Source organism: Homo sapiens, chromosome 8, assembly GCF_000001405.40.
Source record: "Homo sapiens chromosome 8, GRCh38.p14 Primary Assembly".
Taxonomy (NCBI): domain Eukaryota; kingdom Metazoa; phylum Chordata; class Mammalia; order Primates; family Hominidae; genus Homo; species Homo sapiens.
In genome coordinates, this window is record NC_000008.11 from 19,334,178 (window position 1) to 19,356,340 (window position 22,163).

Consider the following 22,163-nt stretch of genomic DNA (forward strand, 5'->3'; position numbering starts at 1 on the left):
CATGAGGACCACCGTTCAGTTCCCAAGGGCTAGGGATGCAAAGCAGACTCTGTGGCACAGTGGATGGTGCATTGGACTTTCAAGGGCTGGGATGCTGCCCACTAGTGCCTGTAACTTTAAAACTATCCATGGACATATGAAGATAAAGGAATTATTTAATCATCGATTGGAAGCAGACGGTGTGGTTCTAATAGGTTAACTTCTAAACCAGGAGTTGAGCAGACCAGGGTTCAGATCTTGGCTGTACCACTATGTGGTCTTGGATGAATTACAAAATTTCTTGGAGCTCTTATAACAAAGTGAGGATGACAATGCCTTCCTCACAGGGTTGTGATGAGGATGAAGTTAACGTCTTTACACACCTAGCAAAGGGCCCAGCATGTTAGAAGCACTCAGTAAGTGGTGTCAGTTACTGTTTTTCACATAATTTGAATGTCGACATATGCTTTGGAAAGGCTCTTCCTGTTGAAGAATGTTTTTTGAGAATTTCACTTTTGCCTCTCTTCAGAAAAACTCACTCTGAAGAATTCACCAATAGCTTGAAAACAAAATCACAGTACCATGATCTGCAGGCTCCGGATAACCAGCAGACTAAAGACATCTGGAAGAAAGTGGCAGAAAAGGAGGAACTGGAGCAAGGATCGAGGCCAGCACCAACCCTGGAAGAAGAGAAAATCCGAGTGAGTCCTTACTGTCTGTAGACGTGCGGAATTTCATCATGGGGGAGAAAAAGCTATTGAGGCCACAGAGACTACTGTGGCTGAGTGTCAGGATCCTCCAGTGGCTTTCTTGGGAGAAATGCCTCCTAACTTTAAGATCCTCCAGGGCAGGCACGGTGGCTCATGCCTGTAATCCCAGCACTTTGGGAGGCCAAGGCGGGCGGATCACGAGGTCAGGAGATCGAGACCATCCTGGCTAACACGGTGAAACCCCGTGTCTACTAAAAATACAAAAAAAAAAATTAGCTGGGCGTGGTGGCGGGCGCCTGCAGTCCCAGCTACTCGGGAGGCTGAGGCAGGAGAACGGCGTGAACCTGGGAGGTGGAGCTTGCAGTGAGCCGAGATTGCGACACTGCACTCCAGCACTCCAGCCTGGGCGACAGAGCGAGACTCCATCTCAAAAAAAAAAAGATCCTCTTGCTCATGTCACTTGGGGGATTTACCTTCCATGCTACATCATGGAAAATAAAGCACCCCTATTTCATGAGACTGAAAGTAACAAGAACGCTAGGAATGCAATTTGGCATTTTAAGATATTTTCAGGTTCTCCTCAATGCTGCCCCATTATATGTCTTCTGTTACAGCAGAGGTTGGCAAACATTTTCTGTAAAGTGCAACATAGTAAATGGTTTAGGCTTTATGGGCCATGCCATCTTTGTCACAGCTATACACAAATGAATGAGCATGGCTGTGTTCCAATAAAACTTTATTTTCAAGCACAGGCTGAGGGGCAGATTTGGCCTGTTCATGATTTAGATTACATTCTACTGAGTCTTAGCCTTTTTGTTGCGGATTCTAAACATCAGTGCCTGTTGGGCTTCATTGGCTCTGCCTGTGACTTGGGGACAGTTACCTCCCCAACATAATAGAAATTTTATACTCAGAATTGGTATGAATTCTCTTATGGTTCAGATGGTTTAAAAAACTCAAACATAATTTGCTGGTTGGATTATAGTTTGGGAGAACAATGAAACACCTTATTATTCTACCAGGAATTTAATTACACTGAGAATTAACAGGGATTTGCAGTTGTTTGATTTCCATTTATGTCTCCAGCCCTGCAGCACTGGCTGTGTGTGCTTTTGACTTCTTTGAGGCTATCATATGGGAATACAGGTATCTCCTGCCTCCTCCTAGGACCTAGTGAGACTCTGATAACTAACATGGTCAGGGGTTATTCCACAGCAAAGCACACTGCTGAGTGTCTCATGTAATCCTCACAATAACATGAACTAGAGACATTTGTCCATTTTACAGCTGGGGAAACTGAGGCTAGGTGTGGTTAAGCAACCTGCCCAAGGTCTTATTCAAACCCAGGTCTGCAGGACCCCCAGGCTATTCCTTAAATATTAACTACTAACTCCTTAATTCTTAACTCTCATGTTTGGTTGTGTCATTAATATGAGGGCTATGAAGAAGCTTTTTATGAAGGGCTACAAATATGAGGCTCAAAATATTTAGGAAGAGAAAATTCTAAATTTGGTTTTTCATCTCAAGGTCAGCCCTGGACATGCTCCCCACATCCTCATTGAGGCCTCCCGTCCTCCCCAGGTGTGCTTTGCACTCAGCATGTGTAACACTAAACTCCCCCAACACGGCTCCCCTTCCCACACCCCTCCAACCAAGAACAACAGTAATAACAAGAAAGCTCCTTCCAGAGTATTAATTATGCAGCTGAGTGTGTTTGCTCACACTTGTAATCTCAGTGCTTTTGGAGGCCGAGGCAGGAGGATCCCTTTTGAGGCCAGGAGTTCCAGACAAGCCTGGGCATAATCCTGCAGAGACAGTGAGACCCCCATCTCTACAAAAAATTAAAAAAAAACAGCCAAGCATGGTGGTGCATGCCTGTAGTCCTAGCAACTCAGGAGGCTGAGGCAGGAGGATCGATTGAGCCCAGGAATTTGAGGCTGCAGTGAGTCCTGATTACACCACTGTACTGTAGCCTGGGGGACCAAGTGAGACCCTAAGTCTTAAAAAAAAGTATTAAGTATGTATGCTTATATTTGTGCTTGAATTACAGTACTTTTTTAGACCTTTTTTTTTCAAAAGTAGGACAAAAGATTAAAATGGAAATTAAAATAGATACCACAGTTATTATTCTTTAACCATCTCATAAATATTATATTGAGAGTGGCACTGTTGCCTTCCTTAGGTGCCTGCTAAACTGACATATGGAAAGAGATGGGGGCAGGGGAGAAAGAAATATTCAGATAGAAGGAATATGGAAATAGATGGGTGACAGGTTTTTATATTCCTGCTTTTTATCTTTCCCTGTGTCAGAGAAGATGCTGTCAGGGGCTCCTGTGGTATTTGCTGAAGTTCACTCTGACAGCAGGCCACACAGCGAGGAGCCTGATTTCACAGCTAGTGTGAGCCTTTAAAGAGGTCGTCTGCTACCTCTCAGACAACTGACTCGATGGTACATTTATATTTTTATTGTAAGTTGTGTATATGTCACTATAGTGGTCTGAATATTTATCCCCCGAAATTTATGTCCACCTAGAACCTCAGAATGTGAGCTTATTTGGAAATAGATCTTTGCAGATGTAATTAAAGTAAAGGATCTCAAGATGAGATCACCCTGGATTTAGGGTGGATCCTAAATCCCAAGACAAGTGTCCTTATAAGAGGAGAGCCAAGGAAAATGTGAGAGAGAGTGTACTAGTCTGTTTTCATGCTGCTGATAAAGACATACCCAAGATTGGGCAGTTTACAAAACAAAGAGGTTTAATGGACTTACAGTTCCATGTAGCTGGGGAGGCCTCACAATCACTGTGGAAGGTGAAAGGCACGTCTAACATGGCAGCAGACAAGAGAGCTTGCGCAGGGAAATTCCCATTTATAAAACCATCAGATCTCATGAGACCCACTCACTATCACAAGAACACCATGGGAAAGACCCACCCCCATGATTTAACTGCCTCCCACCAGGTTCCTCCCACAACACATGGGAATTGTGGGAGTTACAATTCAAGATGAGATTTGGGTGGGGACACAGCCAAACCATATCAGACAGAAACACTGAGAAGAAGGCCGAGTGAAGAAAGAGGCAGAAAGCAGAGTTATGCTGCCACAAGATGGGAGCCACCGGAAGCTGGAAGAGGGGGCATAGCCCTGCACAGCCTTGATTTCTGACTCTAGTCTCCAGAACTGTGAGAGAGTAAATATCTGTTGTTTTAAGTCACCAAGTTTATGGCCATTCATTGCAGCAGCCCTGGGTAGTGAATGCAGTTACTTCTCATTGACTTTCTCAGAAATGTTTCATTATGCTACCCTAATTATTAAATAGTTATTAAAATGGAGAAGCAACCATTTTAGAGAGACAGACCCACTTTCTGGAAAACCAGAAATAATTTGAATCCTGCATCCCTCACCTCCTCGTGCTGTAGATTTTAGCTCTTGAGTTTCTCCCTCTATCAAAAGGGGATAAACAATCTATTTGTTAGGCAGAATAATGGCAAATATATCCACATTTAGATCTCTCAGACCCACGAACACGTTACTTTACATGGAACAGGGGACTCTGCCTCTGGGACCATGGTTAAGGACGTTGAGATGGAAGATTATCCTTGAATATCCAGGCAGGCCCAGCTTAATCGCATGAGTCCTTAAAGCAGAGACTCTTTCCTGGTTGAGGTCAGAGGGAGATGTGGCTATAGGATAATGATCAGAGACATGTGATGTTCCTGGCTTTGATGATGGAGGAAGAGACCATACGTGAAGCAAGGAATGGAGGCAGCTTCTAGAAGTTGGAAGAGGCAAGGAATCGGATTCTCTTTAAGTCTATGGAAGTCACGCAGCTCTGTTGACACCTTGATGTTGGCCCAAGGTTGGGTCTCTGACCTACCGAAATGTACCATAATTTGTGTTGTTCATAAGCACTGAGTTTATTGTAATTTGTTACAGCAGCAGTGGAAAACCAGTACAATCTGGTAGGATTTTTTGATGAGTAAGTGAGGTATTGTATTGGTCAGGGTTCTTTAGAGGGACAGGACTAATAGGATAGACGTATATATGAAAGGGAGTTTATTAAGGAGTATTGACTCACACGATCACAAGGTGAAGTCCCACAATAGGCCATCTGCAAGCTGAGGAGCCAGCAAGCCGGTACAAGTCCCCAAACCTCAAAAGCAGGGAAGCCGACAGTGCAGCCTTCAGTCTGTGGCCGAAGGCCTTAGAGCCCCTGGCAAACCACTGGCATAAATCCAAGAGTCCAAAAGCTGAAGAACTTGGAGTTCGATGTTCGAGGTGAGGAAGCATCCAGCACAGGAGAAAGATGGAGGGTGGAAGACTCAGAAGGTCTAGTCCTTCCACGTTCTTCTGCCAGCTTTTATTCTAGCCACACTGGCAGCTAATTAGATGGTGCCCACCCAGATTGAGGGTGGATCTGCCTTTCCCAGTCCACTGACTCAAATGTTAATTTCCTTTGGCAACACCCTCACAGACACACCTAGGAACAATATTTTGCATCCTTCAGTCCATCAAGTTGACACTCAATATTAACCATCACAGGTATTCAATACTGGGCACTTATTTCAGTACCTCCAAACACATATCAGATATTTAGTTAGCTCACTTTCCTCTTCCCTATAAACTTTCTTTTTTTTTTTTTTTTTTCTTTTTGAGGCAGGGTCTCCCTCTCCCCGAGGCTGCAGTGCAGTGGTGCAATCATAGCTCACTGCTGCCTTGAACTCCTGGGCTCAAGCAATACTCCTGTCCCAGCCTCTCTAGTAGCTGGGACTACAGGCACAGGCCACCACCCCCAGCCAATTTTAACAATTTTTTATAGTGATGGGATCTCGCTGTATTGCCCAGGCTGGTCTTAAACTCCTGGCCTCAGGTGATCCTCCCACCTCAGCCACCCAAAGTTCTGGGATTACAGGTGTAAGCCACTGTGCCCAGCCCCTATACATTTTTCTTAGCTTAAATGTATCGACAGTGAGGAGAGGATCCCAAGGTTGATTGATTTACTCATAACATATTTTGAGTACCCAATAGGTGCTAAGTATTGAGGTTATGATACTGGAGTAAAACGGAATCACTGCTCTCATGATATTTTGGTTGGGGAGGGAGAGAGAGACATCACATAACATATAATTTCAAACAATAACAAGTGCTGTGACTTAAGGGATAGGTTTCTGTTCACCCCAATTACATTAGCACTGGGGCAGCTCCGAGGAGCCAAGGATGGCTTTGCAGAGGACATGGCCCCTAGGGCTGGCAGTTCCAGCTGAGGAACAGTGTGGCAAAGGCTCCATAGCTGGAGGGAAAGTGGGCTTTGGAGGAACCAAAGGGGCCAGTGTGACTGGAGTGCAGAAGCAGGGAAAGCATTGTCGGGGGGTGGGGCAGGGCCAGGCAAGACAGGGTCTTGGGGGCTACTTACGTGTTTTGACTCTTTTCAGGAACAATTGGAAATTGTCAGTGATTATCGAGCAAAGGGTTGAGCTGATCAGGTTTATATTTTGAAAAGGAGGGATCATTCTTGCATCAGAGAGGGTGGAGGAACAAGGTAGCATGACCCAGGTTTCTAAGCTTGGATGCCTGGGAGAATGAGATGTCATCAGGATGGACAGGCGTGTCTGGAGAAAGAGCTGATGCTAAAGGAGAAGGTGATTCTGGTTGAGATGTGTCAGGATTTCCCAGGCTACTTGCAGAAGTGGTAGTGGTGGATACACGCTGATTTTGTTCTTTTCTTTCTTTCTTTCTTTTTTTTTTTTTTTTTTTTTTGAGACAGGGTCTTGCTCTATCAACCAGGCTGGAATACAGTGGCACAATCATAAGCTACTGTAACCTCCAACTCCTGGGCTCAGGTTATCCTTCAGCCTCAGCCTCCTGAGTAGCTAGGACTACAGGCACATGTCTGGCTAGTTTTTAAACTTTTGGTAGAAACAGGGTTTCACTGTGTTGCCCAGGCTGGTCTTGAACTCCTGGGCTCGAGTGATCCTCCTGTCTCAGCCTCCCAGAGTGCTGGAATTACAGGTGTGAGCCACTGCACCCAGTCAGGCTGATCTTATACATGTGATTTGGAGTTCACAACACTTTTTCTCATGGAGTTAAGTCTTTTCACAATAATCCTGTGAAACAAACAATACAATACCATTTCTTTTGTACAGATGAAGAAACAAATGTTCAAAGAGATTAAGTGATTAACCCCAAAATTACAGTTAGAATGCCCTCATTTTTGTATGTCTACTTTAATCCCCACTCTCATCGTAACTATGACATATTTAAAACAGAATTCATCACTGCCCCCAGGCCTTCTCCTTTAGAAGAGAACTGTGGTTTCTGGTGAGAAAGCTAGACTGGAGGTTTAGGATGCATCTCACTTGTTTCTAAAATGCAATTCAGATTTGCACAGTAAGGATTAAAGATTTCTGAATTTCCGCTACAGTTTATTTTAACTCTAATATCTAAAAGTATATTGTCATGTCTTCAAAATTGCATTGTATATGCAAGGCCCAACATTTGCTATAAAAAATCTTCAAGCAGTTTTTATTGAAGTTAGTGACCATAATCCTTATCTGAGTAACTCTGGGGAGATTTAAAGAACAATCAGTCTTCCAGGATTATAAACAATATTCAAGGGAAATCAGCTATAAATTTATTAAAGTAAAGCTGTCTTGTTAGATTTGTAGTAAATTTCCAATGAAAGGTCATCACTAGAGTCCAGGTGCTGTGACTCACATCTGTAATGCCTGCACTTTGGGAGGCCGAGGCAGATGGATCACTTGAAGCCAGGAGTTCAACACCAGTCTGGGCAACATGGCGAAACCCTGTCTCTATAAAAAACACAAAAATTAGTCAGGCATGGTGGCATGCACCTGTAGTCCCAGCTGCTTGGGAGGCTGGGGTGGGAGATCACTTTAGCTGAGGAGGCAGAAGTTGCAGCGAGCTATGATCACGCTACCCAACTCTAGCCCGGGTGACAGAGCAAAACCTTGTCTTAACAAAAAAAAAAAAAAAAAGATCATCACGAGAAACTGTGCCCCATTTTCTAAAAAAATACTCCAGACCTGAGTCAGAATGCACTTCTTACCAGTCTGATCTAAAATCTCCCGAGGGCTGTGGAGAATGGGTGAAAATTAAATTCAACCCAAATATTGATGTGTATTCAGCATTGTGGAATCTCTTGTGGAGGAGTCAGTTTCTTCTAGGAAGTAGTGCTTCTAGTTAACAATTACCCTTTTTATTTGTACTGATTTATCAGTTGCTGCCAGAAGAAGTCCAAATAATGGAAAAATATCAGGGTTGGGTTTGGGCATGAGAGTATTCAGTCTTATACACATCAGGATACACTGGATTTCTGCATTTGTATCAGTAGTGTTTTTTCAACTCTGCTGTGATTATCTCATGGAAGGAAGGATTGAAGCAAACATGTAGTCAGAGTCCTCTTTGAGCTTATGTAGAACTTGGGGTAAATCCTACAGTTACTTCTTCATTATCCTTCCTCTTTACTCACTAGAATTTTGAATAGGATAAAATCAGGTTAATAGAATGCTGAGGCCAGCCTCAAGGGAAGAAAGCTACACATGGTAAGAGGATAGCTGGGAGCTTGGATGCTATTTGGTGAAACGGGCAGATTTGCCTTAGTGCTGGTCATTGGGATGATAGTGGTTATAGATAGCCCTCTACACATTTGGAAAGATGTACATTCAACATGTTACTTCATCCTCACAACTGTAGGAGGTGTGAAACAGGTATTTTTATTCCTGTTCCGAGTGGGGGGATCCTGTTCCGAGGGCAATGGTTTGATTCACAGGGGGAGCTGGGTCTTCTACCTTATTCAGGTCCCTCTTATTATCTGCCCCCGGGAAGGTAATCACGTCTGCACCTTAACGATCACACTGCTGGGATTAGAGTTTTTGGGCTTTTCCCCTCCACTAGCAGTGATACTTTAAACCAGATATTCTGGGCTTTAAATTAAACAGAAAAGCTTTTTCCATAAGAAAACATGGAGAAAGGGAAAGAGGAGGGAGTCAGGGAACAGTGGAGAAATAGACAGGATTAAATCTACTTTCCGGGACACCTTGAGCCAGTCTCATTCACCTCGGTGGTGTTTTTGCAGAGCTCACAGCTCTAGCACGCTGCTTCCGTCTCTGTGTGCCTTAGATTTTTAGAGCAGCCTCTCTGCCCTGCACTGCGAGAGGGTTGTATTTGTACTGCTGGACTGGTTACCTATGCTAGCTGTGCAAATCTCATAAACCTCTGCAACCTCTGTTTTCTCATCTATCAAAAGTGGGAATTAAAACCAGGTGTAGTGGCTCATGCCTGCAATCCCAGCACTTTGGGAGGCCGAGGCAGGTGGATTACTTGAGCCCAAGATTTCGAGACCAGCCCTGGCAACATAGCAAGACACTGTCTCTACAGAAATTAAAAAAAAGAAAAAAATAGCAGGACATGCTGGTGCACACCTGTAGTTCCAGCTACTCCAGTGGCCGAGGAGGGAGGATTGCTTGAGCCTGGGAGGTTGAGGTTTCAGTGAGCTGTGGTCACACCATTGCACTCTAGGCTTGGCGACAGAGAAAGACTCTGTCTCCAACAAACAAAAACTGGGATTTTTTAAAAACTTGCCTTGTTTATCTCATGGGTTTTTGGTGGAAAAAAAAAGATTAGGTAGTAAAAAATGACATGAGATAACATATTTGGAAATTCTTTGAAAACTGGAAATCCCAGTACAAATGTAAGGGGTTATTTTAATTAAGAGCACTAGACATTGTCCTTCCCCTGTGTGACCGTCTCCTACCCAGGGGCTGCACACTTCAGTGCCCAGCACTGTTGGGCTTGTTGGGCTGCATCAGTCATTCTCTGAGCAAATATCCGTCAAGGTTTAATCTGTGTAATGATAGGCATTACAGCGCCACGAGGAAGGCATAAGATGAGGTTTTCATCTTTCAGGAGTTTTAACCTCTGAAAAGAGCAGCAGTGAGTGCTCTGTAGGGCAGGATTTAATCACGTTCTAGGAGGCCAGTGGCCTGTTCACTGGTTTGTGGAAGGCAGGGATGGAGTGGGTGACAGAGAAAGGCAGAGAGGCCTGGGAGAAAGGACTCTGCAGTCCTGGCCGGCGAAATGTCAGTGGTAAGAAAGTGCAAAGCCTCATGTGTCGGGGAGGGAGAATGCAGGGGAACAGTCTGATGGGGTAAAGTGCTTTGTCTGGGACGAAGAAAGGTAAGTTTGAGTAGATGCTAACAGGTCACCTTATGGAAGAAGAGTCAGGCTTGTTCCATGTATTAGTTTTCTTTGTGGCTTACCCTAGTACCCATGTGTTATCTCCCAGCTCCTCAGGTGGGAAGTCTGACATAGCAGGACTAGGTTCTCTGATTAGGGTCTTAAGAGGCTGAAATCAAGATGTCAGCCATGATGGGCTCTTATCTGGAGGCCCTGGAGAAGAATCCGCTTACAGGTATATTCACATTGTTGGCCAAATGAATCAGTGGGAGGCCCTGATTCCTTGCTGGGCATCAACCAGGGGCCAATCTTTGTACCTGGAGCCGCCTGCATTCCTTATGCTTTCCGAGTGGCCCCTCAAGCAATGGCAGATTGAGTCCTTCTCCTGCTTAGAAGTTCTCTCTTACTTCTTCTTCTGCTGTCTCTCTTTGACTCCAGCTGGAGAAAGTTCTTTGCTTTCGAAGAGCGCCTGTGATTAGATTGGGCCCACAGTTAATCCTGGATAATCTCATTTTAAGGTCCATAGCTGGTAATTAATGTCTGAGGAGCTCCTTTTCCTGCATAACATAACAGATTTACAAGTTTCAGATTAGGGCGTGGGTATCTTTTAAGGCCATGACAGCTACCATACCCCTGTAGGCTGTCGGGTCAGTAGTATAGGCCTGCCACCCCTTATCCAATACATCTGGGCCCAGAAGTGTTTCAGATTTCAGCTTTTTTTTCCCAGATTTTTATAAAAGAAATACTGTGCATGTACTATGTAATATATAATGCCTCCCAGCAAGGTCTGGGTCAACACTCTGTAAACAAATGCTGTAGTTACTGTAAATAGCCTCGTTAGTTCAAGTTAGGATCCTCCCTGATAGGAGTTACATATTTTCAGACCTTTTTGGATTTTAAAATTGTTGATAAGGAATGGTGGGCCTTCAGTCCATTTTTGAGCTATGGTAATATAATGAGAGCAAGTGGTCAGAAGAACTGGATTTTCATTTTGACTTTGTCTCTGCAGGTCTTTTGTTTTCTTAATCTATAAAATGAGAGACTTTTAAATTGTTTAGTGATCATAGAGCCCAGGTGCAGGTACTTCCTATGCTGCCCCTGGGACAGACATGACTAATCAATTGCAGCACTCTCTCCTGATGAGCCAGGACAGGACCTCATATCCTTGTCAACAGGGCTGCAGGCAGCCACATGGAGTCCTAGGAGTTCACGGTACAGATGGACTCTGTTTGCTGAGGTGACTTCTCAGTAGTTTCACTCTAGCTCTACACATGCAGATCTTAAAGCAACACTCGATGCCTGTACAACAGAAAGAATGTTTTTTCTTATCACTACTAGCTGTCAAGAAGGGTTGCCATACCGTTTCAGCGAATAAGCCATACCACGAGGTCTAGACTTTTGTATTTGAGCAGCAGTTAGGCAGGAGTGTGATAGGCAAACACAGTGGTATGTGGCAAAGTCAACTCAATTTTATTTCTGTAAATAAGGCACAGATGATGTATTCTTTGGTCAAGTGGCATTCCTATCCTGAGCTGGTTTTCACTACAGCCCTCCCCTTGGAGACTCAAAACATATCTTTTGGTCCACCTGGGTAATAGCTAATCTTCTCACATATAAAAATGTAGAGAGCTGTACCTTCCTGCCATGCAACAGTTTCTGTGGTTTTAACCAGAACGCCAAACCACGCAATCTGTAGGTTTGCATTTGGATGTGATTTTATACCAGTGTAACCCAAGTTATATCTTCATTAGTAAATGGCTTCATTCAAGGAGATCCCTTACAGAAGAATGGAAGACTTGCCCCAGTTCTAAGAGTGAAGAATTTCTGCTTCACCCTGATAGCCATGAGAAGCAAATCTTGGGAATCTGAGAATTGTTTGATGGCTGCTACAGGCTTTGGAAACCTTAAGGTCCAGTCTCAGAGTATCTTTCTATGCACGCATGACAATCTTTACAGAAGATTTTCAAAGGATATATTTTTGTTGGTTTAAAATTTTTATTATACCGAATAAATATCCAAAAGTAAGACTGCCTGAACAAGTACCAGATACCTGGAAACCATAGCACCCAACACAGTAGAAAACCTCTAGTTAGGGAATGGAAGTTTCAGTCCTTACAGGCAGCCCTGATACTTGGGGCAGTATCCTATAAGGCAGGAGCCCCTATCCCTGGGGTACCATTGGTCTGTGATCTGTTAGGAACCAGGCCACATGGCAGGAGGTGAGCAGCAGGCAAGCAAGCCAGCATTACTCCCTGGGCCCCGCCTCCTGTCAGATCATCAGCAGCATTAGATTCTCATAGGAGCATGAATCCTCTTGTGAACTGCTCATGTGAGGGATCTAGGTTGCATGCTCCTCATGAGAATCTAATGCCTGACGATCTGTCACTGCCTCCCATTACCCTCAGATGGGACACTCTAGTTGAAGGAAAGCAAGCCACTGATTCTGCATTATGAATTATGATGAGTATGTAATAATTATAGAAATAAAGTGCACAATAAATGTAATGCACTTGAATCATCCCGAAGCCATCCCTCTGGCGCCCCCTATCTATGGAAAAATTGTCTTCCACAAAATCAGTCGCCGATGCCAAAAAGGTAGGGAACTGGGGCAGTAAGGGATCCGTTTCTTCTGTAGATGTTAAATTTAGCAACACTGACTCTTTACAAAGGAAGCCGATAAAATGTATAAATAGGAGAAAGCAGCTTGCCCAGTATTGTCTGATGGAAGCAGCAACAATTGCCTCCTGAAATCCTTCAATTACAGGATGCCGTTCTCTCACCCCCAACCCACATCCTCTGGCAAGTATGTAGAGCAATAAAAGATATTGTTCTTATCAGGAGGCCAGGCTTCGTCCTTCGCATTCTTCATATGAAGAGTTGGAGGCAAAAGAGGGCTGTCTGGCTGGATTTTCCAAGCTCAGGAGGAGGCTGAAGTAACATCTAGGTTAGAACTGAGTATATGGTTTTTATTCTGCAAAGCTGTTGCCCTCTGTAAAATAGCTGGCTTGTCCTTACTTTTTGGCAGTGGTGATGCAGCCGAGGAACCTCTGAAGTGATGCTCTGCTTAATACCGAGTCAGTGTTGTGGTTCTCCATGGATCACAGCGAACACGCAGAGTTACTGGGTGCCTACACTGAACTGGAGGTGCTGGGGAATAGCTGGATTTCTCTGTCCTCCTGCCAGGTTTTGAGACACGCACGTTCAGAGCAGATGCCATTCCCAGGCAAGGATGAATGTAATGGGGAGTTAATGGGACTCAGAGAAAAAGACAGTGGCATGCTGTGTGAACCGACTCACCCTACCTAGGGGAGTTTGGGTATGAACTGCGAGTCCCCTGCAGCTGAAGAGACCCTTAGAGACCCTCTATGTGGATAGCCATCTGAATGCAGTGATGTCCCCCGTCCCCACTCAGAGTTGTTCTGCGTGTGGTTGGGAGAATGGCAGACTCTGCCAACTGAAAAATAAGCTCCTCTGTGTTTCTCCGCTTATATGTAATTTGCAGGCTTGGAACTCATTAATCAGTACTGACTGTCCTTGCCCCTGAAAGGGACCTTGAATAAAACTATATCTGCTCACTTTTAGATTTTATCTCCAGAGAATTCTTCATTATTTTTACAGAAATGGCCTTCAGAGTGGGCCACACTGCAAAACAGGAGATAAAAAAATTAGAACCAAACATCTGGGATTCAAAGTATTACACGCACAAAAAAATAAAGCCTTGTAGCTGGCAGATTAAAAAGCCTTGAGCAAAAGTCTTCCCTGTGACATATTCTTTAACCAGGTGGAGTTACAGATGAGGCCTCTTACCTCTCCACCTCCACCACACAGGCAAACACATGCCACACATTGCATGCATACATGCACACACAACACACGTGTGCATGCTTTCCACACTGCCCCAAGGCTCTGACACCTGTTTTTAAGTCAGTCATTTTTCTATAACAACTAATGATCACAAAAACACGCCACTAAAGTGTACATTTTAGTTGTAAACTTGACACTGAAACTATGGTGGTTTTCAGTTTTTGTGTGCGTGTGTGTGTGTATTTTTAGAAACAGGATCTTGCTGTGTCACCCAGGCTGGAGTGCCACGGTGCAATAATGAGTCACTACAGCCTGAAACCCCTGGGCTCAGGTGATCCTCCTTCCTCAGCCTCCCAAGAAGCTTGGATTACAGATGCATGCTCCCATGCCCAGCTAATTTTTTTATTCCTTGTAGAGACAGGGGTCTCACCATGTTGCCCAGGCTGCTCTTGAACTTCTGGGCTCAAGTGATCCTCTTGCCCCTGCCTCCCAAAGTGCTGGGATTACAGTTCACTTATATTTTTAAGTGTTATTGTAACTCATAGTGTTATGTTTCCATGAGTAGAGAGCATTTAAGTAGCAACCTGTAAAATGATTTTAAGATATAATATGAAACTTCCACTTAAATTTTCCGTCTTCTATACCTTTCTTTCAAACTAAAATTAAGAGCGCTGTCCACTCCGGAACGATCAGTTCTGTAAAACTGGACTTCAGTGGTTTGCCTTTTAAAAGGAGAGATTCAGAAGAGAGTTACTGAGATCAGAAGACGTCTTTGAAAGAATAGAAAAGAATATGCTGAATTATTTCTAGGATTCTCATTCATCTCAAAGTGTTATTGAATAGCAACAAAAGTTTTTGGTTTTCTGTCACTTGCGCTTCAGGTTAAGAGTGAAAAGCAGTATTAGCAAAATAACACTTTAAGGTGATTTAAGCGGAGGTGAGTACCGAGCTTGGTGAGTAGGCGGGGTTGAGAAGCCTGCATACTACCCCAGAGTAGATACCTCGTTCCTGGGGTTAGCAGAACCAGTGTGGCATTGCCTGGTTCTGACTGCAGACAGCCATATTGTGAGTCTCTGGGAGGCAAGGGGGTTCACACCTTAGAACAAGGACTACCATGGTAAATAGAGATCATGTGCTTCCGAAACACAAGCTAGAATTTCGAGGATTGAATCGGATAAAGAGACAAAAGGGGAATAATCCTATTCCAAGCTAGGAGTCATTTGCCTTGATGTATATTCCATTCTAGTATACATGAAGGAAGCATTTCAATATAATTTTTGTGAGAAATAAAGCATTGGACATACCAGGTAAAAACAGATAAGTAATTAATTGTGCATATCTTATTAATTCAAGAGTGGAGCCCTAATCAGAGGGCTACACAACTACCCAAGTAGTTTCTGTGTAACTGTAATAGAATTTCACGGTAGGTAATTTGTAGAATAAAATCTTATATAAGATAGAATCACAAAATGCTAGCACCTTAAAATTCACTTAAGCTGTTGTGCTTTTTAAAAGCAAACAAATAATCAAAATTTCTAAAATAAAAAGATTGATAGAAATTAGAAAAGAGAAAAACATATTTCTAGTCTTAAGGGTTTACTCAATTTTGTTACCAACTTCATAATGTACAGCTGCATTGTGGGAGATATTAGCATTGATTCACTTATTGAACTCATTAAAAGTAGTATTCTAGATTCCTGAGTCGGGAGATTTGTTGACCACTTCAAGGTCAGTTGTTCAACCTCTCTGAGGCTAAGTTTCCCAATCCATAAAATGGACATTAAAGTAGCTACATGCCATTGGGTTAATGTGAGAATCAAATGAAATAATATACATAAAAGTGTTTTGTAAAGCATTACATATGATATGAATATAGTTTTCTATTGTTGTTATTATTATTTCTTGAGATACAGTCTCGCTCTCTACCTCCAGTGTTCAAGTGATTCTCCTGCCTCAGCCTCCTGAGTAGCTGGGATTACAGGTGCCCATCACCACGCCCAGCTAACTTTTGTATTTTTAGTAGAGACGGGGCTTCACCATGTTGGCCAGGCTGGTCTCAAACTCCTGACCTCAAGTGACCTGCCCACCTTGGCCTCCCAAAGTGCTGGCATTATAGGCGTGAGCCACTGTGCCTAGCCTATTATTTTTCTATTATTATTTGTAGTTAAGTTTTGTGTTCCATTTCATCAGGACTTCCTGTATCAATCATGTTTTTTTAATCATGTTTTTAAGATTCTGAATATTTTCTCAACAATCCTTTATTATTTTATGCTTACACTTTATATTTCACAATTCCTTTATTTCTCTTGCTTGTCTTTTGCTCCTTCATGGATCCTATTTCAGGCGTCTCCCTGGATGAGAATGTAAGAGTGGCCTTTGAAACTCCCTCGCATGTGAATGCTTTGCCCAAGCAACCTGCACCAGCTCTGCATCACTGCATTTTTCAAAGATGTTGCTGCCCAGTTCTGTTGTTTGTGCATTGCTTAGTGGTGTTTTAGGGGATGGTGCAATAGGAGTCAGCTATTGTTCATCGAATATGACTGACGTTCTGTGCTCTAACGTGCTCATAATAAACTAGGACACCAAAGACAATGTTTTTAGTTGTTGTTGCTCTTTATTGTTTTGTTTTGTTTTTGAGACAGAGCGTTACTCTGTCTCCCAGGCTGGAATGCAGTGGTGAGATCCTGGCTCACTGTAGCCCTGACCTCCCCAGGCTCAGGTGATCCTCCCACCCTCGCCTCCCGAGTAGCTGGAACTACAGGCGCACACAACCACGCCCAGCCCACTTTTGTATTTTCTGTAAAGACAGGGTTTCACCATGTTGCCCAGGCTGGTCTCAAACTCCTGGGTGCAAACAATCTTCTGACTGGGCCTCCCAAAGTGCTGGGATTACAGGTCTGAGCCACCGCAGCAGCCGACAATGTTTAGTGAAACATGTGCCATAAAATCTCACATCATATTGGAGTCTGCTGTACTTTCAAGTCGGGGTATTCAGTAGTCTCTGTGCGTGGATTTTGCTTGGAACAATATTAGAAAAATAAGGAAAAGATTTTCTCGGGTTTCCATTGTCCTAATTCATGTGTCAGTAAAATCACTCTACAAGGAGTTTGTACCATATTTTTAGCAATAAAATTTACTGTCCCGCTTTTTGTCTGTTAGTCTACTTGGCCTTAGGAAAATCTCTCCTGTCTCTCTTATTCTTTATAACTTTATTGAAGCAGAGTTCCATTATTCTGCCTCTCCTGTTATTTTAGAAGCAAAAAGGTAAATCCCAGTATGCTCAGAAACTTAATATTATAGTCATCATTGGGAAACTGCCTTTTTGTTTAAAATTGCTGAGAAGAGGATGATCTGATTATTTCAATGACCTGGTTGGCAAAATGGGTGAGCTATAGACCACTGATTCTCAGAGTATTTGAATTCATTCTATCTTGATTAATAGTGAAACTAGATCTCTGCTGGGCACAGTGGCTCATGCCTGTAATCCCAGCACTTTGGGAGGCCGAGGCGGGTGGATCACAAGGTCAGGAGATGGAGACCATCCTGGCTAACACGGTGAAACCCCGTCTCTATTAAAAATACAAAAAATTAGCCAGGCGTGCTGGCAGGCGCCTGTAGTCCCAGCTACTCGGGAGGCTGAGGCAGGAGAATGGCGTGAACCCAGGAGGCGGAGCTTGCAGTGAGCTGAGATCGCACCACTGTATTCCAGCCTGGGCAACAGAGTGAGACTCTGACTCAAAAAACAAAACAAAAAAAAACAAAAACAAAAACAAAAATAAACTCTTGATTTTATGCTATTAATTCTTCATTTTCATCTTTACCATAAAAATTGAGTCCTGACAATGTTCTGTTTGTTGGAGCTTTCTGGTTTATTTGGAATTAAAGACACTTGGCATTTGTTTGACTGTACAACCCTACCATTATTATTATTATTTTGAGATGGAGTCTTGCTCTGTCGCCCAGGCTGGAGTGCAGTGGTGAGATCTTGGCTCACTGCAACCTCTGCCTCTCGGGTTCAAGCGATTCTTCTGCCTCAGCCTCCTGAGTAGCTGCGATTACAGGCACCCACCATCATGCCTGGCTAATTTTTGTACTTTCGTAGAGATGGGGTTTCACCATGTTGGCCAGGCTGGTCTTGAACTCCTGATCTCAGGTGATCCGCCTGCCTCAGCTTTCCAAAGTGCTGGGATTACAGGCCTGAGCCACCGCCTCCAGCCTATAACCCTACTTATAAACAAAGGGAATATTAAGTTAGAAGCCAGTATCAACTGTTTCTCAAAGCAGTTTGAAAAGTGAACATAATTCTTCTCATTTGACAGACAGACTCTGGGGGAAGCATATTTTGTAACCATGTAATACTGATGTTGTCAGCAGCACCTTTTTGTAACCCAGTTGCTTATGTAGATTTGAACTGTCATACTTCTAAGTTTAACGGTAGTTATTATTTTTCATACTATCTTTTGGCCAATCAGATGGGGTACACCCCCAGATCCATTTGGGATTTTCACTGATTACAGAGGGTTATTCTGACTTGATGTCTGCAGGAAGTCCACTAGCTTCTGATGTTATTAGCTTTCAGTTTTTCTTTTTTGGAAGCTTTTGCATAAATATTCATGGCAGTTTTTATGTTTAAATAGAGCAGATATGAGGCAGATAAGATTGCTTTAACTCTGCTCATAGAGCTCCAGCAGCTGTAAGAATTTCTGTAATGTGGCAGATGGATGATGACCGTAGTGGCTGTTATGCGTAAGAGCATACATATGTTCTCTCTGGGAGACCCTGAGGAAGGAGCAGGCTTCAGACGTGGAGATGACATGCATTTGGGTCCCTGTCCTCCTACCTATTAACAGGTCAACTTAGGCCAGGTGTGGCGGCTCACACCTATAATCTCAGCACTTTGGGAGGCTGAGGTGGGAGCGTCACTTGAGCTCAGGAGTTTGAAACCAGCCTGGGCAATATAGTGAGACCTTGTCTCTACTAAAATTAAAAAAAATTTAGCCAGGTGTGGTAGTGCATGCTTGTAGTCCCAGCTACTTTGGGGGACTGAGGTGGGAGGATCACTTGAGCCCAGGAAGTTGAGGCTGCAGTGAGCCCTGATCATGCCACCGCACTTCAGCCTGGGAACAGAGCGAGACTCTGTCTCAAGAACAAAAACACAATGACCAATAAAACAGGTTACCTTACCTCTTTGGTAAAGGGATAAGGCCTATTTTGACACCTAATATGAAGGTCAATGATGTATTAGACTTCAAAGTGCTTTATAAGCAAAAATTATACAGGTAGGAGGGTCATTTTCTTCCCTTTTTTGGTATAGAGATAACTAAAGAGTATATTTCCTGGGTCATAGCAGCATATGGAAGCTTCAGAGAGGACATGGTACCCTCTTTGAAAAGCCTCTTCATCCTGCCTCTAGGAGTGCTTCAAAGAGGCAGTGGTATTACTGAGGTATACCCTCTGATATTGCCATCATAAGTCATTACTTTTGAGTCCATTAATCATCTAGTTTTTTTTTTTTTTTTTTGAGACGGAGTCTTGCTCTGTCACCTAGGCTGGAGTACAGTGGCAGCATCTTGACACACTGCATCCTCTGCCTCCTGGGTTCAAGCAATTCTCTTGCCTCAGCCTCCTGAGTAGCTGGGACTCCAGGTGCGCATCATCACGCCCGGCTAATTTTTGTATTTTTAGTAGAAATGGGGTTTCACCATGTTGGCCAGGATGGTCTGGATCTCTTGAGCTTGTGATTTGCCCACCTCAGACTCCCAAAGTGCTGGGATTACAGGCGTGAGCCACCACACCTGGCCTCTAGCTGTTTTTTTTTTTTTTTTTTTTTAATAAAGGAAATAACTTTTGGATCCCACATTTTCACTCTATTACTTGTGCATATCATGGATTTGTAGAACGTGTAAGTGTATCTAAATGAGCCTGCTTTCTGCAAGTTTTAAGTTTTTCATGTTATTTTAACCCTTTAGAATAATGGCAAAATCTTGGTTCACCTTGAAAAGTAGAATTTTTATAAATGTGGTTCTTAGTATGTGTGAATAGCTTTAGAGTTTACAGTATGTTTTAGACACATTGAATAGAAGTGTTTAAATAGAAGGATTCATCTCTCGAGTGGTTTTTCAACTAATTTTTTTTTTTTTTTTTTTGACACGGAGTCTCACGGTCACCAGGCTAGAGTTCAGTGGCACAATCTTAGCTCACTGTAACCTCTGCCTCCCAGGTCCAAGTGATTCTCCTGTCTCAGCCTCCCGAATAACTGGGATTAACAGGCATGTGCCACCATGCACCACCATGCCAGCTAATTTTTGTATTTTTAGTAGAGATGGGGTTTCACCATGTGGGCCAGACGGGTCTCGAACTCCTGACCTCAGGTGATCCACCCAACTTGGCCTCTCAAAGTGCTGGGATTACAGGCATGAGCCACCACGCATGGGCCTAATGAGTTTTTATGCTAAAATTCTACTCAAGAACAAGCTTGTGAGTTTTGGTATACTAAAGACAAAACCTAAAATTTCAAAGAAAAGGAAAATCATCAATCATCTCCAACTACCATGAGTGGATGGTGTTGGCAGCAACCACTGTCACTTTAGTGCCCAGTGACATCACTTCCATGCACACTGTCTGGAGTACGTGTCTGTGCTTCATATTATTTTAACATAATTCATAACCGCGTCAGATCTGACACATGCAAAGGCAGTGAGCATGCTGAAAGTACTAGTAAGAAAAGGTATACAATGATGATAGGAAAAAATGTAAGATAATTTAAAGAAAGCAAGTAGTAAAAATACCTGGTTCATGTGTACATGAGATGAACTGTTCAGTTTAAGGAATAACTGAGGGATGGAGGATAACTCACGCATTGTGTTCAAAGCACTGTACCCATACAGATGACAGTAATTGGCGGGATATTGAGGGGAAACTGACAAAATAGACAACACTTTTGAATACATGGATTAGAAGATAACCATCAGATGCCTATTAGCTTAATGCTAATTCAGGAAGCAACTAAGAGTGTGTTTTAAAGCTCAAAGACTAAGGACAGCAAATGTGCTGCGGACAAAACCTTGGTCCAGAACTCCAGTTTCATAAGTCCAGATCTGTCTGATTCTGCAACAGCTGCTCTGCGTCTGTTCTATTTTAGATGTAGAGCAGCGAAGTATCCTTTTATAATATTAAAATGAGAAAAAAATGAAAGTATGATAAGTAGCAATTGTGAAACCTACAGGATTCATTAGTTTGCCAAGTAATAAACATAGCATATTTGAAACATTCTCTGCAATACTTGCGGGAGTATTAAGAAAGAAGGGTTACCTGCCTCCTAATTTTCAAATATAAGAAACATCCTTTTTGCAAAACGGTGCCCCAAAGATCTTATATCATCAAAGAAAGAGAGAGTGGGCCTGTTTTTAAAGCTCTCCTTCCTGGTGGTGGAAATGCACTCAGAGATTTTAAAAGTCATCTTGGACTTTTGAGCAGACGCGCTTACATGAAACTTGTGGGAACAGTTCACTCTGTTCCCAAATAGAGGAACTGGTTACTGTTCTAAGTTTAGACGCAGAGCAGCAAAGTATACTTTTATAATATTAAAATAAGAAAACAATGAGAATATGGTAAATAGCAATTGTGAAACCTACAGGATTCATTAGTTTGCCAAGGAATAAGCATTAGATATCTGTTGACCCGCATCTCATTTTCTTATCACTACAATGTCAACATAGTGGAAAAAGCATAAACTCTGGCACAAACCAGCTGTCTGGTGCTGAGCAAGCTCCACAACTCACCTGAGACTTGGTTTCCTCATCTGAAAATTGCCCATTATGTTGCCCATCCATCACAGATGTTGTGTGGAGTAAAAATAATACTAAGACACTAACATGGTGCCGGGTCATAATACGTCTTCAGTATGCATTAGTGCTCATTAGCGGAATTAGCATTAATCTCACCACCTATGATTAATTATAAAACCTCAGCAGAGAGCTTGAAACATGCCTCCAGCAACTGTTGTGACCAGTTTTATCAGTTGATAGGCTAAACTTTTGAAGGAAATAGTCCCCAAATGCCATGGCCAAAAATACAATAAAAGTTATTTATTTGTCTTCAGACAGTCCAGAATAGGTGTTCTAGTTCAGGAGGGCTCTGCTCCACACAGTCATTCAGGGACTCAGGCTTTTGTAGTCTAAGTATCTGCTATCTTTGGTAGTAGCACTGCTGCTGTCACCATTCCAGCCCAAAGGAAGGTGGAAGTGGCCTGCAGGAGTGTGTGAAGGAGGTTTCAAGTGGGCCTGGGGAGAAATGGCAAATGCCTGTTGTCAACTGCATTATGTTAAGACAACCGCTGAGGCATTTGGGAAATGCGGTATAGTGGGGTAGCCACATGCCAGCCACTTTGAGAAAAGGGGAAGATTGAGAAAGCCACTGGTTTATTGCATGGTGCAGTAATGATCCTCTGTACTCCTTCTGAATGGTGGCACCAAC

At 43.1% G+C, this 22,163-nt stretch overlaps 1 protein-coding gene across 8 annotated transcripts in view; it reads left to right on the top strand.

The window, feature by feature from the left end:
* The window catches only part of SH2D4A (SH2 domain containing 4A), an 82,526-nt gene that overhangs the window by 20,485 nt on the left and 39,878 nt on the right, over positions 1-22,163 (top strand). For all 8 annotated transcript variants that reach the window (NR_156444.2, NM_022071.4, NM_001363110.2 and 5 more), the window contains one exon: positions 509-680. Coding sequence is in view for 7 of the 8 variants with exons in the window: in NM_022071.4 (NP_071354.2) it covers positions 509-680 (172 nt within the window). In the remaining variant the exon portion in view is untranslated. The remainder of the gene's footprint in view (positions 1-508; positions 681-22,163) is intronic.